This window comes from Homo sapiens, chromosome 1, assembly GCF_000001405.40.
Source record: "Homo sapiens chromosome 1, GRCh38.p14 Primary Assembly".
Taxonomy (NCBI): Eukaryota; Metazoa; Chordata; class Mammalia; order Primates; family Hominidae; genus Homo; species Homo sapiens.
The window spans coordinates 235,187,906-235,210,295 of record NC_000001.11 but is presented as its reverse complement, the minus strand read 5'-3'; the positions used below and the strand labels follow the sequence as shown (position 1 = coordinate 235,210,295).

General features: G+C 37.8%; 1 protein-coding gene and 1 non-coding gene across 12 annotated transcripts in view; both read left to right on the top strand.

Annotated features, from left to right (window-relative positions):
- Window positions 1-22,390, top strand: part of ARID4B (AT-rich interaction domain 4B) — a 161,278-nt gene that overhangs the window by 117,884 nt on the left and 21,004 nt on the right. For all 11 annotated transcript variants that reach the window (NR_135074.2, XM_024447626.2, XM_047422531.1 and 8 more), the window contains 2 exons: window positions 14,181-14,265; window positions 16,085-16,283. Coding sequence is in view for 10 of the 11 variants with exons in the window: in XM_024447626.2 (XP_024303394.1) it covers window positions 14,181-14,265; window positions 16,085-16,283 (284 nt within the window). In the remaining variant the exon portion in view is untranslated. The remainder of the gene's footprint in view (window positions 1-14,180; window positions 14,266-16,084; window positions 16,284-22,390) is intronic.
- MIR4753 (microRNA 4753) lies at window positions 20,180-20,262 on the top strand. Its single transcript, NR_039908.1, has one exon. It is a non-coding gene; the product is annotated as a microRNA 4753 (primary transcript).

Here is a 22,390-nt window from a genome sequence, read left to right as displayed (position 1 = left end):
TTTGTGTGGACCTATTTCCATGGTTTTTTTAATCTGAAACAAGTATTTCAGATTAAAAAAAAAGAGAGAGACAGACAGGACCTTGTTCTGTCACCCAGGCTGGAGTGCAGTGGTGCAATCATGGCTCTCCAGCCTCGACTTCTTGGGCTCGAGTGATCCTCCCACCTCAGCCTCTGGAATAGGTGGGACTCTAGGTGTGCATCACCACACCTGGCTAATTTTTTATCTTTTGTAGAGATGGGGTCTCACTATGTTGCCCAAGCTGGTTTCAAACTCCTGGGCTCAAGCAGTCCTCCTGCCTTGGCTTCCAAAAGTGCTGGGATTATAGACATGAACCAATGCTCCTGGCCATGAAACATGTTTTTCCGGTAAAGAGATTTTCTCAAATAATGTAAGAGTGTCTGTCTTTTTGTTTAAAAATACTGTTTTTAGGCCAGGCACGGGTAGCTCATGCCCATAATCCCAGCACTTTGGGAGGCCGAGGCGGGCAGATCACCTGAGGTCAGGAGTTCGAAACCAGCCTGGCCAACATGGCGAAACCTCATCTCTACTAAAAATACAAAAATTAGCCAGACATGGTGGCAGGTGCCTGTAATCCGATCTACTTGGGAGGCTGAGGCATGAGAATGACTTGATCCAGGGGCACAGAGGTTGCAGTGAACCAAGATCACACCATTGCACTCCAGCCTGGGTGACAGAGCAAGACTCCATCTCAAAAAAAAAAAAACAAAACAAAAAACAAAAAAATCAATTTTCTTGTTAATTTTTACATTTTTCTTTTTTTTCTAACTAAAATGCTGTTTGTTTGTTTGTTGTTTGTTTTTGAGATGAGGTTTTGCTCTTGTTGTCTAGGCTGGAGTGCAGCGCCGTGATATCATCTCACTGTCACCTCCGCCTCCCAGGTTCAAAAGATTCCCCTGTCTCAGCCTCCCAAGTAGCTGGGATTGTAGGCACATGCCACCATGCCCAGCAAATTTTTGTATTTTTAGTAGAGATGGGGTTTCACCATGTTGACCAGACTGGTCTCAAACGCCTGACCTCAGGTGATCCACCTCTGCCCCCGTAAGTGGTGGGATTATAGGCGTGAGCCACTGCGCCCGACCTGTATAAATCTTTAATATAATTTTCATGTATGTCCCTATTTCACAGCTGAAAATGTTGATTTTTGTTATACAAAGGTTAACATTTGGGCAAGTTTGTTTTCTACTGTTGTGATGAAAAAAAGTCATATTTTAACATGTTCACACCACATTTACTGGAAAGGGCTTGAACTCTTTAACCACAAATATTATAATACTCTTACAGAATTTTTCTGATGCAGTGACAGTATCTAAAACTATTGTCTAGCACTATATTACTTACTATGTCACCAAGCACTAGGCATGTTTGGAGTATGCTCATAAATTATTTTTTAAACTCTTCTAAAAATAACAATTTAGAAAAATACATAAAAGTAGAAAGATAAAATTATTGCTGGCCGGCCGGGCACGGTGGCTCACGCCTGTAATCCCAGCACTTTGGGAGGCCGAGGTGGGCGGATCACCTGAGGTTGGGAGTTCGAGACCAGTTCGAGACCAGCCTGACCAACATGAAGAAACCCCATCTCTACTAAAAAAAAACACAAAATTAGCCAGGCATGGAGGCACATGCCTATAATCCCAGCTACTAGGTAGGGTGAGGCAGGAGAATCGCTCGAACCTGGGAGACGGAGGTTGCGGTGAGCCGAGATTGCGCCATTGCACTCCAGCCTGGGCAACAAGAGCGAAACTCCATCTCAAAAAAATAGAAAAAAAATAATAATAAAATTACTAATATTATAGTGTGTTCTCTTTTAGTCTTTTAAAATGTCTCCCTACATTTAAAAAAAATTTAGTTCTGCTTAAGTAGTTTTTAATAGTAGGCTCTCTATTTAACTTTTCTTAGTGATGTTAATATTTTATAGAGAATCTTAGCATAATTATCTAATTGATCCCTTTCACTCTCAAGTTTCTAAGTCGTGTCGTAAATATGGGATTGATTTTTGAAAGTAAGGGTACACATTGAAATTAACATGCCGTAAACTAGTTGAGTGTGTTGGATTTCTTTGTTTAGTAACAACTGAGTGAAACTATCTAGACTAATTGGCATGGAATTTAAAATACATCAATATTTTGTAATAGTGTATCAATACTGATTGAATTTTCTCGCTCATTTCCAACTTGGCTTTCTGTAATCAAAGAGTTGCAAATTTAGTTAGAGAATAATTTTTTGTATGTTGAAGATCACCAGCTGCATTAATGGGAACCCAAAAGTAAAAGAGACACTGTAAAACTTCAGTTGTAAAACTCTTAAATAAGCCACAACAGTTCTAGTGCATGTTAACAGTTACAGAGAACTGAAAATAAGCTAAATTATGCTAAATATATTATTTGAAATTAAAAATGTGTTACATTTAAAAAATATTTTCGCCAAACAAATTAAATCCTCTTAGGAGGGAATGAGTTAGGGGATGAAAAAACCTGGTAAAAGGCTTTCACAAATGAGTAGGCTCAATCCTATTTTTTGCCATCATTCAGTTGCTTTTTATCACACTTTATTCCTTTATTTTCCAAACATAAGTTGAATACCCACTATGTGCCAAATACTGTGCTTGTCACCAAAGATACCAAGAAGTGGTCCTTATTAAGGAATTCATAATAATAATAAATTCTTTATTAAGGTATTGATCCTACCACCCCTTACCTCTTCACCCCAGTTAATGCACTCAGTCTTCCCTTGATATTGCTTACATTCCCTGGCATTATTATTATAATCACTTCTTTTGACTCAAGCTGTTCTTTTTCTCTCCTTTTGCTTTATAGTACTCATCTGACAAAACCACAAGAACCTTGATTAAATCTAACCCTCCAGCTCCTTGCCTGCACCTGTGCAGCCGATCGTGGTTGGAGTAAAGCAAGCAACCACAATGACTGTTCTTATTTTAAATTCATTACTGTGAACCTCAAGTGGGTCCTTAATTCTCTATGTCCTTCTTCCATTCACTTTCCTACTTTCTTAGAAGACTATTTCATACTGCTGCTTATGTCTTCACATCCCCAACATCTCTTCCCTATCCTCATTTTCAGCTGGTGACCTTGCTTTGTACCTACTGAGAGATAGAAACAAGAAAAACATTTCTACACACTTCATAAGATCTGCCTACCTAACTGCGTTTGCTGCCACATTCTCTGTGTTTTCATCTTTAGCCATAGATATACAGTCATGCTACTGTCTGAAGCCAGTCTTCATAAGCATCCCTTCTTGACTGATCAAAGACATGGCCCATTTTCTTGCTCTGTTCTGAGTCATTCCCACTACTTACAGATCTGTGGTTATTTGTCACATCTCAAGGAAAATCTTTTCTGGAGCCTGACTTCTACTGTGACATTTCTTCGCTCCATTTTCATTCAGCAGAACTGTTTGAAAGTTACCTACACTTGTTACTCAGTTTCTCTCCTTTTTCTGTGTAAATCCACTCTCATCAGCCTTTTGTTCACTGTGTCTCCACAACTGTGCTTACCAGGAACACTAGTGACCCTTTGTAGATAAATTCCTCCTGCTTTTCTTGCCCTCTTACGTACCTTATCAGTGGCTTTACAGTCAGTTGATCACTCCTTCCGTGATATGCTTTGCTTGGGCTCCAGCTGCTCCAGCTACAACCATTTTTCTTGTTTATTTTCCTTTTCTTCCTTTCTCAAAATTAAGAAACCACTCCTCAATTATCTTTTCTGTCTTCCTCATCTTTATGTGTTTTCTCCCTTCTAATTTTTCCCCTATTTCTTTCTGATATCCATTTAACATTTTTTTGGTTTCTGTTCCTATTTTTCCAATCCTAACTTGAGTCACAATTCTGATATTGAATTTTTCTAAATTATTTTTCCGAGCCAAAGGAATTTGATCTGGAATATAACTTTCACCTAGGACTCTGGGTAAATTCTTTCCCTTCAACTCTCCTCCCCCTCCTTTTCTTTTTTTCTTCATCGTTCAAGCTTTCTACATTAGGACTACGTTATGTATTATTACAAAAGTGAACTTAATTTTAAAATATGAAAAAAATTTCTGTTTCATATCTATTCTCCTAATATCCCTTACCACATCTAGAAAAGTATTCATTTGGCATATGATAAGTACTAAATGAATGTTGAACTAAATTGGACCTCCTGACAACAAAATGGAAGTAGAGCAGAAGGTAAAATCCAAATAAAAGCCACTGGTTTTTTAAAGTGATACCTATAATAGGGGATTGGGACAGATATGGCTTGACCCTCTCACTGGAGCTGCTTCTCACCTCATTTATATATAACTCTGTGTTTCACATTCTAAGGAACTGTCAAACTTTTCCACAGAGACGACACCGTTTTACATTCTCACCAGCAATGTGTTAGGGTTCCAGGTTCTCTGCAGCCTTGTCAACACTTGTTATTCTCTGTTTATCTCATTGTGCTTTTTTGATTTGCATTTTCCTAATGCAACATTTTTTCATGTACTTGAAATGTAGAGTTGAACATTTTTTCATGTACTTATTAGCCATTTGTATATCTTCTTTAGAGGAACGTCCCTTCAAGTTTTTGCCATTTTTGAATTGGTCAGTTGTTTTGTTGTTGTTGAATTATAGTTCTTCATATATTCTAGATGTTATTCCCTTATCAGATACATGATTGCAAATGTTTCTTTTGTTGCCTCTGCTTTTGATGTTATTTCCAAAGAAACATTGCCAAATCCAGTGTTCTGAAAATTTTCCTTTATGTTTTCTTCTAAGAACTTTATAGTTTTAGCTGTAATGTTTACATTGTTGTTCTAATCTGAGTTCATATTTGTATATGATATATGTGACCTCTTTGGGTTACATAAAGAGCTCATCTCTTAGCAAACAAAATGGAGTCGAGACTGAGAGACTGGAATGAATTTGATTGGAAATATTAATTTTCTGTTACTTTTTAGCTATTCTTAGTCTCCTTTTGTCCTTAAAAAATTTTTAAGTCACTTTTCAGCTTAATTTCTTTGTTCTTTCCTGCTCTAAAATGTTTTGTGTCCTTCATTTTTTTTCTTTCTTATTTCCATGTAATCTGATCCCTGCTGTACTTGAGTTGTGTATGCCATTGGATTTAGGAATATTGAAATAGAGTACAAAGTTGTTCTACTCATTTTCTTTGAAATAATTGTCCTGGTAATGATAGAAAGCAAGGTACCCTGGGAAGTTGTCTGCGTTGTTTCTATAGTACAGAAGTCAGAGGCCTATAAAATGACCATTTGACAGTGGTTTCCATTATCTGTAAGTTTGTATTAAAAGAGAGTGGCTTTTGAGTTAACCATAGATTTTGAGTACAAATGAACATAAACATTTCCTTCATGAAAAAAAGATGATAATTCAGTTATGTGTTGTACTCAAATGGGCTTTAATTTTTCTTTGTGTATTCATCTTAGAATGTTTACTAAACTTGGACCTGTTTCATTCAGTAGTTTCGTAGATTGGCAGGTACATTGATATTTTTGTCTAAGTACGCACAAATAACTAATTCCATACATTTATCAAATATTAACAAAGTACACTTTTGGGGAATTTAAAAAACTTAGCATCTGCATTACAATATGCAATTAATGGCACAGTTAACCATTTGCAGTTGTCTTTGTACGCTTTGGTAAAATGCTGTATTAGTGTTCTTATTATTACATATTACCTCTGCCTAAAGACCTATACTTCCGTTTCATTTTATAGCGTTACATTGCTTAGGAAAACCTATTGATATAATTACTATACCATTCCGTTGAGCTGTTTATGTCAACTCTTAAATATGACTATGCTATAATATTTATGGTTCTGTCATTCTGCTGTTATATTCTTAAGTGTGAGGAATACCATCGCTGTCTCTCTGATGTAGATTTAAGTGTTATATGAAGTAGAAATATGAAATGTTTATATCATACTTAGGAATTTCATTTTATTTTATTTTATTTTGAAGCGGAGTTTCGCTCCGTCACCCAGGCTAGAGTGCAGTGGCATGATCTTGGCTCACTGCAACCTCCGCCTTCTGGGTTCAAGCAATTCTCCTGCCTCAGCCTCCCGAGTAGCTGGGACTACAGGCGTGTGCCACCATGCCCGGCTAATTTTTGTATTTTTAGGAGAGATGAGGTTTCACCATGCTGGCCAGGCTGGTCTTGAAATCCTGACGTCATGATCCGCCTGCCTTGGCCTCCCAAAATGTTAGTCTTACAGATGTGAGCCACTGCACCCGGCAGGAATTTTATTTTTGAATAATATACTACTTTTTTGTTTCATTTTATTGTAGATACATGATTAAAAGTATTAATTGTGATCAGTTGTTATTTTCATATATCTTGTTTTAGATAGTCAGATTAAAATACATATAAATTGAGATTATATAAAATTCATAAAGTAGGTAAATATTGATAAAATTGCTTATGAAGTTTATAATTAATAATGATTAACACTGCTTTTTATCTTGACTTGGTGTTTTTTTCTATTATTTTGTCATACTTTTATTTATTTAATTCAGGTGGGGAAATCCCTTTCCATACTAAGACAGTACAAATTTCCACTTTAGATGTGAGGTTCTTAAAAACTAAGTAAGTTAATTATATGACATACATTAACTTTTTTGATTATAGAGAGGCAAGATATAAAATACATATTGTGCAACAATTATTAAATGAATCTATTCATTATAGAAAGCAAAATATAGATGATTTTAACATTTACTTAATGGTTGGTTATTAGATTTTTATCTTATCTATACATATTTCAAAGAGTGAGGTTTCAAGTTTATATTAATTTGATTTTACTTACGAAGTTATTTTTAAAATACCTTTATTCTGCATGCTGTTTATTTTTAAATCTCTTAAGACTGTGCTTTTTAGGTATATATTAACTATATGCTGATAATATTTCTTTTAAAATTGGGTTTAAGAAGAACCAAAAGCTGAATTGATGTGGGCATATTAACCATTTTGGTAGTATATCTGGTCGACTAATGTTCTTTTCCATTTTTATTATTACAAAATGATTTCTTACATAATTTGCCAATGCATCTGTACAAAAGCCATAAAGTTTTCTTTTTAGAAATCCAATTTTTCTGTGGTGAGAGCAAGTATGCTGTGGTCTCTGAATGGTATCTTTTAGCCTTGTATGAATATTTTTAAACATTTGAAAAATCAAATATTTGTGTGGTGGCTTCTTTCAGAAAGTTTCACGTTTGTATTCACAATTTGTCATTACTGTTTAGTATTGTCTTCTTTTGTTGAATTGTAAGCTCCTCGCAGGCAAGGGCTGTGTTTGTTGATTCATTGCTGAGTACCCAGTGCCTAGCAGACTCTGTTATTACATAATAGATACCTTAGAGGTGTTTGTCAAATGAATACGTCCACATGTGTACTTATGGTCTTGGAGTCTCATATAATTTTTCATTCTACGGCCAGGTGTGGTGGCTCACGCCTGTAATCCCAGCACTTCAGGAGGCTGAGGCAGGCAAATCACCTAAGGTCAGGAGTTCAAGACAAGTCTGGCCAACATGGCAAAACCCAGTCTCTACTAAAAATACAAAAATTAGCTGGACGTGGTGGCACACACCTGTAATCCCAGCTACTCAGGGGGCTGAGGCAGGAGAATCACTTGAACCTGAGAGGCGGAGGTTGCAGTGAGCTGAGATCGCACCATTGCACTCCAGCCAGGGCAACAGAGCAAGACTCCGTCTCAAAAAAAAAAAAATTTTTTTTTCATTGTACTTCATTTTATGTAGGTCAGGGAACATACTAGATCTTCAGAAGTTAAATGAGTTTATCATGCATATGTTATTTTATGTTTTGTTAGTTGAATGTTAAGTGATCTCAATAGAAATATTATCAGACAAGTCATATATATACCTTGGAAATATTTTCCTTAGTACTTTAGATAAATATTCAATAAGATACTTGTTTAGATTCCATCTGTAGAATTAATTACATTGACTGTATTGATAACTGAATTGAAAAAGTATAGGCTAATCACTGTCTTAATTTTCTAACTCAATATTTGTTTTTAATATTTGTTTCAATACTTTTTGTTTATTTCAGTATTTCTTTTTAAATGGAAGCATTTAGTAATGCTGTTTCCCTTGTGCCCTGCAAAATTAATTTATTTCCTGTTATTATGAAAAGGCCAATTATGATTTGTAATCATAATTCCTAAAGGTTAAGACCAGTTAAAGCCAGGATAGATAAACTATCCTGGATTGTATATATATGTATATATTGTGTATATATATGTATATATTATATACACATATATATAAAATAACAACCCAGTCTACCTGAATTTTCACATTTTCAGAAAACTGTATTGCTTGAATCTAAAATTGCAAGACAATTTATTTTATTTTATTTTATTTTACATATTTTTTTGAGACAGAGTCTTGCTCTGTTTCCCAGGTTGGAGTGCAGTAGTGCAGTCTTGGCTCACTGCAACCTCTGCCTTCTGGGATCAAGTGATTCTCCTGCCTCAGCCTCCTGAGTAGCTGGGATTATAGACATGCGCCACCGTGCCCAGCTGATTTTTGTATTTTTAGTAGAGATGGGGTTTCGCCATGTTAGCCAGGCTGGTCTGGAAGCATTTTAAAACCAAAAGGTTTGTATTTAACTTACTTACTAAGATTATTGTATTCCGCCAGATGCGGTGGCTCACACCTATAATCCCAGCACTTCGGGAGGCCAAGGTGGGCGAATCACTAGAGCCCAGGAGTTTGAGACCAGCCTGAGAAACATAGTGACACCCTCTCTCTACAAAATATAAAAAAATTATCCAGGTGTGGTGGTGAATGCCTGGAGTCCCAACTGTTCAGGAGTCTGAGGTGGGACAATTGATACTGGGAGGTCAAGGCTGCAGTGAGCCAGGATGGCGCTACCGCACTCCAGTCTGAGCAACAGAGACTCTGTATGAAGAAGAAAAAAAAAAAAAGAAGATTCTCGTATTCCTTAAGAATGTACTTTCGGGGATGAATAGATATCTTACTTGACGTGGTACCCCAAGGAGAAATTGAGAAATATTTTATGGCCTTCTATTTCTTAGCTGCAGTTTCACTCTTTGCCACTTCCTTTCCAGTTATTTTGTTTTACTTTATTTTTATTTATTTTATTTTTTTTGGAGACAGAGTCTCGCTGTGTCACCCAGGCTGGAGCACAGTGGTGCGATCTTGGCTCACTGCCACCTCTGCCTCCTGGGTTCAAGTGATTCTCCTACCCCAGCCTCCCAAGTATCTGGGACTACAGGTGCCCGCCGCCACAGCCAGCTAATTTTTTTTGTATTTTTATTAGAGACGGGGTTTCACTATGTTGGCCAGGCTGGTGTTGAACACCTGATCTTGTGATCCGCCCTCCTCGGCCTCCCAAAGTGCTAGGATTACAGGCATAAGCCACCGGGCCTGGCCTATTTTAATTTTTTATGAAATTCAAGATATGTGAACTTGAGCTAAAATTTCCCATTTTCTATCTGCATTGACTATTTTCTTATCTATTATGTCTAAGGTAAATTTGGTGTTGTCTCTTTTTAATATATACTAAATGTACTGTATTTTTAAAAGTCTAAATTTATAAAGAAGAAGTAGGATTAACTGTAGCTTTTTGTTGTAGTTCTGAAGTAAATTCTTCTTTGAAGCCTGTGCTTCTTTGGTAAGGAATGAGAAATCTTGACCCACTAATATTGCTTTCTTAAATTAATTGGCACCAGTAATTATGCCAGTCTAAGACGTTCTTTCTTATATAATTTTAATGTCTGTAGGAAATATGGGGTTTTCATGTAGAGTTTTTCCCCGCATGAATTTTATTTTTTTGAGATGAGTCTTGCTCTGTCACCCAGGCTAGGGTACCGTGGCATGCGATCTCGGCTCACTGCAACCTCCGCCTCTCGGGTTCAAGCTCTTCTCCTGCCTCAGCATCCCAAGTAGCTAGGACTACAGGCGCCCGCTACCACGCCTGGCTGATTTTTGTATTTTCAGTAGAGACACGGTTTCACCATGTTGGCCAGGCTGGTCTCGAACTCCTGACCTCATGATCTGCCCACCTCTGCCTCGGCCTCCCAAAGTGCTGGGATTACAGGCATGAGCCACTGCGCCCGGCCTAATTTTTATCTTTTTGTTAGAGACGGAGTTTCACCACGTTGGCCAGGCTGGTCTCGAACTCCTGGCCTCGGGTGATCTGCCTGTCTGGGCCTCCCATAGTTCTGGGATTACAGGTGTGAGCCACCGTGCCCGGCCTCCCCACATGAATTTGCTTTTTTTTTTTTTTTTCCCTATTCTTTGAAAATATCCTGTAGAGAAAATAGAAGGAACACTTGGGTAGTATTGTAATGGGTAATTACATATACGGAAGGAACATTTCTTATTTTTAAAAGCAATGATCAGTTATAGTTATTTAATCTTCTGACCATCTTTATTTTTCTTGTAAGATCTATCAGACAACTAAAGTGCTATTTAACGTCTCATTAGGTTTTGAAATACTTGTCTGCCAATATGTTTGTGTCAGTGATCTCAGCTTGTATTTGGTAAGGACATTTGTAATTCGAAAAAGCTTCCCCAACCAAAATTCTCACATGTTATTTTCTCCTTTTCTTCCTCTTCACGCCACTGGTCTCTCACTCTTCACTAAACTTACTCTGAATAGGGCCTGGAATGCCCCCTACCGTTATTTTCGTGTTAGAATCTTTTCCCGGGCAGTCCATTTCCTTCTCTTCTCTAATTCTCCACAGGAGTGCTTTTTGGCAAGCACTGTCTTTCACTTTCATTGTTGGAATTTCTTAACTTGTGAAATAAAGGCCCTGATAAATTTTTAAGATATGCTCTAGTTCTAAAAGTTATTAGTTTTGATAACAGTAACAATATTGTGTAACTGTGTTTTATACAAAGAGCATAATTGGCAAGGTAAAAAAAAATGCAAAAACTTAGTGTCAAAACAAGGGCCTGAATTAAACAAATAAAAGCACTGAGAAAGTAGAATAGAAAGAAGCCAAATAACAGAAGAGTCATAATATTAGCTAATATTTATAGATCTGTTAAGTTAGATCTATAAATATAATGTAATATTATTATACATTATGTTTGCTGTTAGATTACATTATTACTCTATAGTAAGTTTTCAGGGAATTTCTTAAAACCATACAGAGTATTCCATGAGAATTTTTTTTGTTTTGTTTTTTGAGACGGAGTCTTGTTCTGTCACCCAGGCTGGAGTGCAATGGCGCGATCTCGGCTCACTGCAACCTCCGCCTCCCGGGTTGAAGCGATTCTCCAGCCTCAGCCTCCCGAGTAGCTAGGATTACAGGCATGCGCCATCATGCCTGGCTAATTTTTGTGTTTTTGTAGAGACAGGGTTTCACCATATTGGCCAGGCTGGTCTCGAACTCCTGACCTCAGGTGATCTGTCCACCTCAGCCTTCCAAAGTGCTGGGATTACAGGCGTTAGCCACTGCGCCCGGCCCCATGAGAATTTTAAAACAAAAATTTTCCAGAATAGTAAGGCCATACTGTTAATTACAACTATGTATGTAGTTTGTTTCATCTAATTTAAGAATTTATTTTTGTGTGTGTGTCCTGCCTGCTCCAACACACTTTTGACATCTAAACTCAACTACTTAACATTTTTCTGACATCCAGTCCTCTTGTACCATCCTTCTTTTATAATTGAGTAGAAGAGAACATGATTACCATATAGGATTTACAGAGCTTAGGCAGTGGGCCCCAGCCTGTACCATACCAAGCATCCATCATTTTATTATTTATGTGTATGTTCTTGCCACCTTGTTCTTAAGAGAATTTAAACAACATACATTATATCTGAGTAATAAAGGAATCTTCCTTTATCACAGTGGCCTTACCCATGAGGCAGTAACTGTTTTTCCTTGTTTGATGTGTTTGGTGTTGCATGTAAAATATACAAATGTGCAATATCATGCATGTATTCTTAAATTGAAAACTACTATTTTACCCTACTTCAAAATATAATTGATAATAAAACCCAGGTTGAATTGAGTCAGTTTTTTATTGATAGTAAAACATGTCTGGTATAAAACTAGCTACAGAACAGATAGCCTTTGGTTAAGAAAGGTAGAACATGATTATAACTTTGTTTAGCTCACATTAATGTTATGTGCAGCCATCATGAACTGACTTCAGTTTCTCTCATAAAAAATTAGAAAGCTTGTTTTGTTTTCTTTTAAAAACAAAGTTGATATCTTGACTTCTTCTTTCCATAACTCTTCTAATAGAGCAACTTCTAGGAGTTCATACTGAAATCTACAGAGGATGGAGGTGTTTTCTTTTCGTTTCCCACCATGCCCCCGATTTTGGAAGGAAGTAAATTGCTTTCCTAAGCATTATACAATTTTCGATATTAATAGGAAAGGTAAAAGTACTGCTGCAAATATATGGATAGATGCTACAGTGCCAGGTAGAAGTACCAAAAGGAGTGTATTTAGTAGAAGAATACTTACTTTAAAGCTTTTCAAAGTACTTACCATATATTTGTACTTACACCAGTACTTACCATATATTTCTACAAAAAAACCCATATATGGTATGTACCATTATTTTTTATTTTGTTTTTAAATTGTAGTCTTATTTTATACAGAAATAAACTAAGCCTTAGATTGAGAATGAGTTGATCAGGACCACATAACTAGGAAGCAGGGATTATGTTAAGTCTGTCCTAAAGCTCATTCCATTCCCTCTTATTCTTATTACGGCCCTCAGCATCTTCCAGCATATAAACAGAACCCCTTGCATGGGGATGAATCCTCAGCTTTTCTGGCTTTTACTGGCTACAAGCCAGTAGTTTGTACCAGCAGAGTAACTGCCCAGGAGTTTGCTACAGATACTTTCCAGGCCTATGCTAGAGTAAGAATATAATTTATTAGTCAAGTAATGACTCAAGTCATTTACTTCTTGATTTGGGGACTTTGTTACTTCCTTTTAATACCTCTAACAATGAGGACATTTTAATTTAAAAGCTCGTTTTCAGGTGTCCATGTTCTAGAGTTTTGTGTTTTCTATGAGTAATGTATATAACTTTGAACACAAAAAGAGAATGTCAATTAGTTTTTAATGTTTACTTCTTCTAGCTGTTATAATTCTTGAATGAATGAAGAACGAATAAACTGTCATTCTTTTTTTTTTGCTTTAAACAAATAGTTTTATTGCAGTTAATAGTAATTTGCACCCTATGAAATTGTGAAGACCATCAGCATTGAATCAAGAGGCCATCACAGCTGTTGACTCAGCTGTCTGTACATGTAGGGAGCATTTCAGAATACTGAAAAACTTTGCAGAGTAATGTTTTTCTGGTATTTTATGAGCAAGCATTTTTTTTTTCTAGTTGATTTTGCATTATCCATACGTTACAATATGGTGCTTTTCTTTTCTTATTTCTTTTTTTTTTTTTTTTTTGTGAAACAGAGTCTCGCTCTGTCGCCCAGGCTGGAGTGCAGTGGCGCGATCTCAGCTCACTGCAAGCTCCGCTCCTGGGTTCACACGATTCTTCTGCCTCAGCCTCCTGAGTAGCTGGGGCTACAGGCCCCCACCACCACGTCTGGCTAATTTTTTGTATTTTTAGTAGAGATGGGGTTTCACCGTGTTAGCGTTGATGGTCTTGATCTCCTGACTTCGTGATCTGCCCGCCTTGGTCTCCCAAAAGTGCTAGGATTACTGGTGTGAGCCACTGTGCCTGGCTGTAATACGGTGCTTTTCTATTACACAATGCCATTTAAAACTGAAGCTATTACCTTAGCTCTCTGATGTGTCTAGAGAAAAATTGCCTACCTGCTGCTTAAGAATGAAACAAAGTAAAACAAAATGTAGAAAATACTGTGATTTATCTTAATACTTACTGTACAGATTCAGTTTCTCTTTGTTGTAGCCGAGTAAGCAGTGCTAGTTGAGGAATCATGAGATCATGCTCTCTAGTCTTGGCTCGGCCAGTAGCTAACTTTAAGTCCATGGGCAAGTTATTACCTCCCTCTCTTTGTGCCTTGGTAGCTTGCTCTTCAAACCAGGAAGCTGAGATGATTTCCAAGGTCCTTTCCCTTCTAAAATGTCAAGATTCTATATGAGTTTCTCTTTAATATGGCATAGGTTATTTCCGTGGTATATATTGTACATATTTATATTAATTTCCTTTAATTTTAGATACGATGAATGGATTAAAGCAGATAAAATAGTAAGACCTGCTGATAAAAATGTGCCAAAGATAAAACATCGGAAGAAAATAAAGGTAAGTGCTTGTTTTTACTACACACTATTAGCTCTTAAAAAGAAGTTTTCCTCCAAATGATGCAATTAAATATGTGTTAGTGTTACACTTTATTGAAATAGCACATTTTTCAAATGCTAGATTTGTATATAATTAATTTTGTCAGGTTAGGGAAAGCATTTTAGAAACAGTACTGGATGATCTTTGAGACTTTTTCAGTCCCAACATTATATAAAGCCATTCAACCAGATTTTATTTATCTATTTCTGCCATTTCCTTCCCCTCTAGTTCCCAACCAGGAGCCATAAGGCAGTGTGACTTGGAGAGACATAGGTTATTATTGTAGCTGTAAACCATTCCAAGGAAGAAAAGGCTATCTGGCAACTCCTTTTTCTCTTCTTCTTTATCTGATTATAGTCAGTGGCTTAGAATATATTCACAAGATTTTTTTTTTTTTTTGGAGACAGAGTCTCGCTCTGTTGCCCAGGCTGGAGTACAGTGGTGCAACCTCGGCTCACTGCAACCTCCACCTCCCAGTTCAAGCGATTCTCATGCCTCAGCCTCCCGAGTAGCTGGGATTACAGGCACACACCACCACACCTGGCTAATTTTTGTATTTTTAGTAGAGATGGGGTTTCACCATGTTGGCCAGGCTGGTCTCGAACTTCTGACCTCAGGTGATCCGCCCGCCTTGGCCTCCCAAAATGCCGGGATTATAGGTGTGAGCCACCACGCCCAGCCCCACAGGATCCTATTAACCACGAAAATGCCATGAGGATTTACTTAGGAGCTCATATGGAAAATTAATGTTACTTTTATGTATGATAGAATTATTCATTCTAAGACTAAATTTTCCTAAATGTTTGATTAGCATCTTCTATGCATCTGGAATGATACTAGATATGTACCATCCTTAGGAGAATTACTCTCACTCAAAATTTATAGTGCTTACTGCTAACTCATGCTTCAGAGAGCTTATTTTTCCTATAAATCAACAAAATTTTTAAGAGTAGTTTCCAGGAAATATATCGGCCTTTGCTTATCTATTTGTAAACAAATAATTTGAGAAAATTTCTCATCTTTTCTCAAAACATTAATATATCACTGAGGTAGGAAGGTTGCCCCTGACTTGACTTTACAAAAGTACCTGGAATTTTGTCATTCCCAACCCACATATAGTGAGATTTTAAAATGACCACGTTGCAATCGTTTCTTTTTTTTCTTGTTTTTTTGAGACGGAGTTTCACTCTTGTTGCCCAGGCTGGAGTGCAATGGCGCGATCTTGGCTCACCGCAACCTCCATCTCCCAGGTTCAAGCGATTCTCCTGCCTCAGCCTCCCGAGTAGCTGGGATTACAGGCATGCGCCACCACCCCGGCTACTTTTGTATTTTTAGTAGAGACGGGGTTTCTCCATGTTGGTCAGGCTGGTCTTGACCTCCTGACCTCAGGTGATCCACCTGCCGCGGCCTCCCAAAGTGCTGGGATTACAGGTGTGAGCCACCTCACCTGGCCTCTTTTTTTAGTTAGTATTTAATTTAAACGTATTGTGATTTTAATTCTGAAGAGCAAGTTGTAGGTTTGCTAGTCCTAATCACCTATCTGATTGCTAATTTGATTCCCGTTATTAAAGTATAAATACAAAACCTTTTGATCATCCTGTGTAGTATTTTGTTAAGTAGCTTTAAAAATCTGGCTGTTTTGAGGGGCTTCTTATGTTCTTTCTTTTTATGTTAAATATTTAACAACATATTCTGTAATAGTGAGTTAAAAGTGGACATTAACATTGTTTCTGATAAATGCCTTATGATAAATTACGACATACTTTTTTTCTTAACCTAGAATAAATTAGACAAAGAAAAAGACAAAGATGAAAAATACTCTCCAAAAAACTGTAAACTTCGGCGCTTGTCCAAACCACCATTTCAGACAAATCCATCTCCTGAAATGGTATCCAAACTGGATCTCACTGATGCCAAAAACTCTGATACTGCTCATATTAAGTCCATAGAAATTACTTCGATCCTTAATGGACTTCAAGGTAAACATAACAATCGTTCTGTTGTGCAAGTATTTGATTTTAATTTATGAGTCAAGTTCTATAAAGGTAATTCAGTGACATTACCAACTACTGTTTTTTCTACCAGAGTTTTGTTTGCTCTCTTATTACAGGTTGAATATCTCTTAACTGAAATTCTTGGAACCAGAAATGTTTTGGATTTCAGATTTTTTTTTGATTTTGGAATATTTGCATTCCACAAGCCAAATCCGAAAATTCTAAATCTGAAATGCTCCAGTGAGCGTTACCTTTCAGAATCACGTCAGCACTCAAAAAGTGTATGATTTTGGAGTCTTCAGATTTTGGATTTGGGATGTTCAACCTGTACTTGAAATAAAATCAGCCATTGATTGAGGCCTCAAATTTTTTATTACTAGTAGATCCAAGGGCACCATAAAATTTTGGTTAACATTTAATATTCAACTTTTAGCATTGTTACTTTAGTTTTTTAATCTTTTCTGTGCCATCCTTTCTGTTGCAATGTAATGCATAGTTTGTGTTATACAACATCAGACCATAAAAGTATACTGACAAGTTGTTGTAAAGAACACCAAACTTTGTTTGTCCTGATTATGACTATTATGATCTCTGTTTCTTTGAGACAGGGTCTCACTCTGTAGCCTAGGTTGGAGTACAGTGGTGCAATCTCAGCTCACTTCAGCCTCAACCTCCCAGACTCTAAAGATCCTCACACCTCAGCCTCCCAAGGAGCTGGAGCTGCAGGCGCATGCCACCATGCCCGGCTAATATTTATATTGTTTCTAGAGACGGGGTTTTGCCCTGTTGACCAGGCTCGTCTCGAGCTCCTAGGCTCAAGCAATTGGCCTGTCTTAGCCTCCCGAGTGCTAGGATTACAGGCAGGAGCCACTGCACCTGGACTGACTGCTTTTTTTTTTTTTTTGAGACGGAGTCTCGCTCTGTCACCCAGGCTGGAGTGCAGTGGCGCAATCTCAGCTCACTTGCAAGCTCCACCTCCCGGGTTCACACTGTTCTCCTGTCTCAGCTTCCTGAGTAGCTGGGACTACAGGCGCCCGCCACTGCGCCTGGCTAATTTTCTGTATTTTTAGTACAGATGGGGTTTCACCATGGTCTGGATCTCCTGACCTTATGATCCGCCCACCTTGGCCTCCCAAAGTGCTGGGATTACAGGCGTGAGCCACCGCGCCTGGCCTGACATGACCTCTTTTATGATGGGATTATTGCTTAGTATTTAAGGCAAAATGAAGTATAGGTAATAAAAGCAATGAGGATTGGAGCAGAGATTTATTAAATCTGACTGGCAGGGAAGGGGACATATCTATGAGATAAAAGAATGGATCTCCATAAAAATATCTTATCATTTCTCATAACTTAAAAGAGGTTTCATTTTTACTTATTTTGAATGTTAATAGAAGCTAGTTTTTGTTTCTTATTGTAGATGTGTGTTTATATTAACTCATTATTTTATAAACCAAATGCTGTACTATATTTTTATTTACTCACCACTGTACTAATTAGGGCAATATTTTTAAATTGATTTTTAAAAAATTTTCCCATGTATCCTACATGCAAATAGTGCATGGAAAATACATGTATAGTTTAAAGAACAGTAATAATATGGATACTAGTATGTCTCCACAGTAGCAATCAAATACTATTTACTTAAAACATGTAGTATGTCTCCTCCCAGAAGTAATTATAGTCTGGACTTTTGTGTAATCCTTGCTTTACTTTTCTTCAGAATTGAATTATCTATATTTATATTCCTAAGTAATTTTTATTTTACTTCGTAGTATGTCTCCTCCCAGAAGTAATTATAGTCTGGACTTTTGTGTAATCCTTGCTTTACTTTTCTTCAGAATTGAATTATCTATATTTATATTCCTAAGTAATTTTTATTTTACTTCATTTTTTTAGGGTGTTTTTTTGTTTTGTTTTTGTTTTTGAGGCAGAGTCTCGCTCTGTCACCCAGGCTGGAGTGCAGTGGTGCTATCACGACTCAAGTGACCTCCTGGGCTCAAGCGACCTTTCCATCTCAGCCTCCTAAGTAGCTGGAACTACAGGTGTGTGCCACCATGCCAGGCTATTTTTTGTAGTTTTTGTAGAGATGGGGTTTCACCCTGTTGCCCAGGCTTGTCTCAAACTCCTGGACTCAAGCAATCCAATCCATCTGCCTCAGCCTTCCAAAGTGTTAGGATTATAGGCATGAGCCACTGCACCCAGCCTGTTTTTTAGTTTTTTAAAAATTGAGTAACAAGCATAAGCCTAGTTTTATAAGAAGGCTCAGATGAAGGCTTTCTGAGAATGTTACCTGAATAGAGATTCTAAGTCATACTCTGATTTCAGATTTAGCTTCTCTGAGAGTTTACAAAAGCCCCTCTAGAGAATTCAGTTGGACAGGTCATAAGCCAGTTCTGATAAACCTAGGGGTCCACTACAGTTAGAATATCTGACACATTTGGCTGGGCATAGTAGCTCACTCCTGTAATCCCAGCACTTTTGGAGGCCAAGGCGGGCAGATTACCTGAGGTCAGGAGTTTGAGACCAGCCTGGCCAACATGGTGAAACCCTGTCTCTACTAAAAAAAAAAATACAAAAACTTTGCCGGGTGTGGTGGTGGGTGCCTGTAATCCCAGCTACTTGGGAGGCTGAGGCAGGAGAATCGCTTGAACCCAGGAGGCAGAGGTTGCAGTGAGTCAAGATCACACCATTGCACTCTAGCCTGGGTAGCAACAGCGAAACTCCATCTTAAAAAAAATAAAATAAAAAGAATATGTGACACATTCGCAGTGGATGTTATGTGGGAGTGTGCTCAGTCGTAGTAGCAGACTACTCTATATATATTCTCATTCTAGGCTTATGGTGATTTACCCCTATTTTTCACAAGTAGGTCAGAATGTTTCTGCTGGATAAAATGATGTCATTAGCTGATCTAGGTAGTGGCACATAAGACATGGAAGGGAGAGCTGGAATTTCATTGACACATAGTTGAAACAAGATAAATACAGATTTTAAAATCCAGTCTGGGTCACTCAGGCATTCAAAGACTACAGAGAGGCGGTAGCAGGTAGCTTAATGATAATAGCCTGCAGTATGACTTTCTTTGGAAATAACACTGCTGTAGTCTGGACTGGTTTCCCTCTATATCTGTTGCACAGCTATTTTCCTAGGGAGATCCCATTCTAGGGATCTCCTTTAATGTAGTTCTTGGATTTCTTTGTTTTTGGCATCTCAGGTTCCTCCCCACCCCCATACTTTCATTTTGGTGGAGCACATTCTCTAGTAGCTTCTAAAGAACAAGTGCATGAGATGGAATTTTTAGAGATTGGCTGCATTTAAATATCTGTATTTATTTTTGCAAATATCTTTATTCTATTCATAGTTTGGCTGGATTGGAAGTTTTTCCTTCAGTATTTTATTGGCAGTGTTGAATTGTTTTTTTGCTTCCAGTATTGCTTTTGTGAAGTCCAGAGCTCTTCCAATTCCTGATTCTTTGTATGTGACTTGTTTTATTCTTTATTTTTTGCTTTTCTGTCTCTGGAATCTTTTTTTTTTCTTTTCTTTTTTTGAGATGGAATCTCACTCTGTTGGCCAAGCTGGAGTGCAGTGGCACAATTTTGGCTTACTGCAGCCTCTGCCTCCTGGGTTCAAGTGTTTCTCCTGCCTCAGCCTCCCGAGTAGGTGGGATTGCAGGGGCCTGCCACCACGCCTGGCTAGTTTTTCTATTTTTAGTAGAGATGGGGTTTTGCCATTTTGGCCAGGCTGGTCTCGAACTGCTGACCTCAAGTGATCCACTCACCTCAGCCTCCCAAAGTGCTGGGATTACTGGCATGAGCCACCATGCCCTGCTAGGAATCTTGAATCTTTGTTTTTCGTATCCAGAAATTTAACTCTGAAATATATCTACACAAGGCCAAAGGAAGAGAACAGATATATCCACAGTACACTTGGCTGTTCTCTTTCTTTAGCCTTGTGTAGATATATTTTCATCCCCTGTGATGCCTACTTGCTAGACTCTTTCATTCTAGCAACTTCTGTCTTTCTGTTCTAGGCAGTTTTTTTGAATGATTTTCTTGATGATTTCCTCTCCTGCATTTTACTGTTCTCTCCTTTTTAATTTTTGTTCATTGTTACTATTTTTGAGATGAGGTGTTACTATATTGCCCAGGCTGGTCTCAAACTTCTGAGCTCAAGCGATTTTCCTGTCTCAGCCTCCCAAAGTGCTAGGATTACAGGCATGAGCTACTGTCCCAGCCCTGCCAAATTTTTTTTTTTCTTTAATTGAGACTGTGTTTCACTATGTTCAGCCCAGGCTGTTCTCACACTTCTGGGCTCAAGCAGTCCTCCTGCCTCAGCCTCCCAAGTAGTTGGGTAGCTGGGGTATAGGTGCATGACACTGCACTTGGCTGTTATCTTTCTTTGGCCAGCCATTATTTGATATTATACCTTCTGTAATATACTCTAATATGCTCACCTTTTAATTTCTTGCTTTTTATTAATTTTTTTGTCTTTTTATTTCTTTGAAATTTTATCTGCTTTGTCTTTTAATCCTTTTGTTGACTTTTTGCTGTAATGTTTAAGTTTTCAATGATTTTTTTTTTTTTTTTTTTTTTTTTGAGACTGAGTCTCACTCTGTTGCCTAGGCTGGAGTGCAGTGGCATGATCTCGGCTCACTGCAATCTCTGCCCTCCAAGTTCAAGCGATTCTCCTGCCTCAGCCTCCCGAGTAGCTGGTATTACAGGCGCCTGCCACCGCACCCAGCTAATTTTTTGTATTTTTAGTAGAGATGGGGTTTCACCATCTTGGCCAGGCTGGTCTTGAACTCCTGACCTTGTGATCCACCTGCCTCAGCCTCCCACAGTGCTGGGATTATAGGCGTGAGCCACTGCGCCCAGCCTTTCAATGAATATTTTTAAATTAAACTAGTTTAATTTTTCAAGAGCTCTGTTTTCTGTGTGTTTTGTACCACTCTGTTCTTATAGATGGATGCAATACCTTACCTTTCGGATTTTGATCTTTCAAAGGATTTTATAATTTTTGGTTTTTTCAGTTACCTCTAATTTGCTTTTTTCTGTGTTGTTGTTTTGAGCTCTTCCCTATTAAGAATTTTTTTTCCTGGCTGTCTTATGATTATGAAGGAAAGACTAAACTGATTTGGAAATTGCAAGCATATGGTTGGCACTTGTTGACCTTGAGTTTCACTATCGGGTGATCTGGTTGGCCATGTCCTAGGGAATTCATAATATGAAGTCTTTAGGTCTTTTTCTCTTAGACTAGTTGGCTTCCAGAGAAAAGAGTTCCAATCTCTTGACTGGAGGGTGGTAAGAGAATGGTTTCCAGTGTTCTAGGATCTAGTTGAAGAACAGAGAGTGGGGTGGAGGATTCTTAGTGGTTAGATATGTTCATGAATCCCCCTAATTTCAGCATCGCATCTGTACCTGTGCCTTCAACAGTTGTTAGCATCTCCCAGGCTAGGAGCCCTCTCCTACTGTCTTCAGAGAATAAAGCTCTAGAAGGGCAGTCACCTTCCAACCTGAAGTGAGGTGGGGATCTAGGCATCTAAGTAATTTTTAGTCTTCACCCAGTGCTCCTTGTATGAGGCTCCCCACTGCCCTTTTTAATTTTCATAGGCACTAGGGCAGTCAGTAATTATTGAGGTTTCTATGGTAAACTGGGTTGGTTTTTGGCTTTCCTCACTGCTGGTATGAGGTTTAGCCTTCTTTGGTGCCCGTCATTCATTTATCTGCTTTCTGACTTGCAAATTGTGTTGCTTTTCTTTCGTATTTTCCCCCATTTTTATAGGTTTATATTATTTCAGAAATTGCATTTATATACCATATATATGACATATGAGTATATATACACACACACATACATATAACACATATACAATGACCCCAAACCCCCCCACACACATATTTATCCTATATGTGTAATAGACACTCACATGTGTGCAGTCTTTTTACAGATGGGATCATTAACATATTACAAACTCTTTTTTTCCCCTACTTAGTGGTATAACTTATAAATCTTTCCAAATCGGCACATCCACATCTACTGAATAGATATATCATAATTTATTTAATTAGTTGCTAAAAAAAGACATTTTG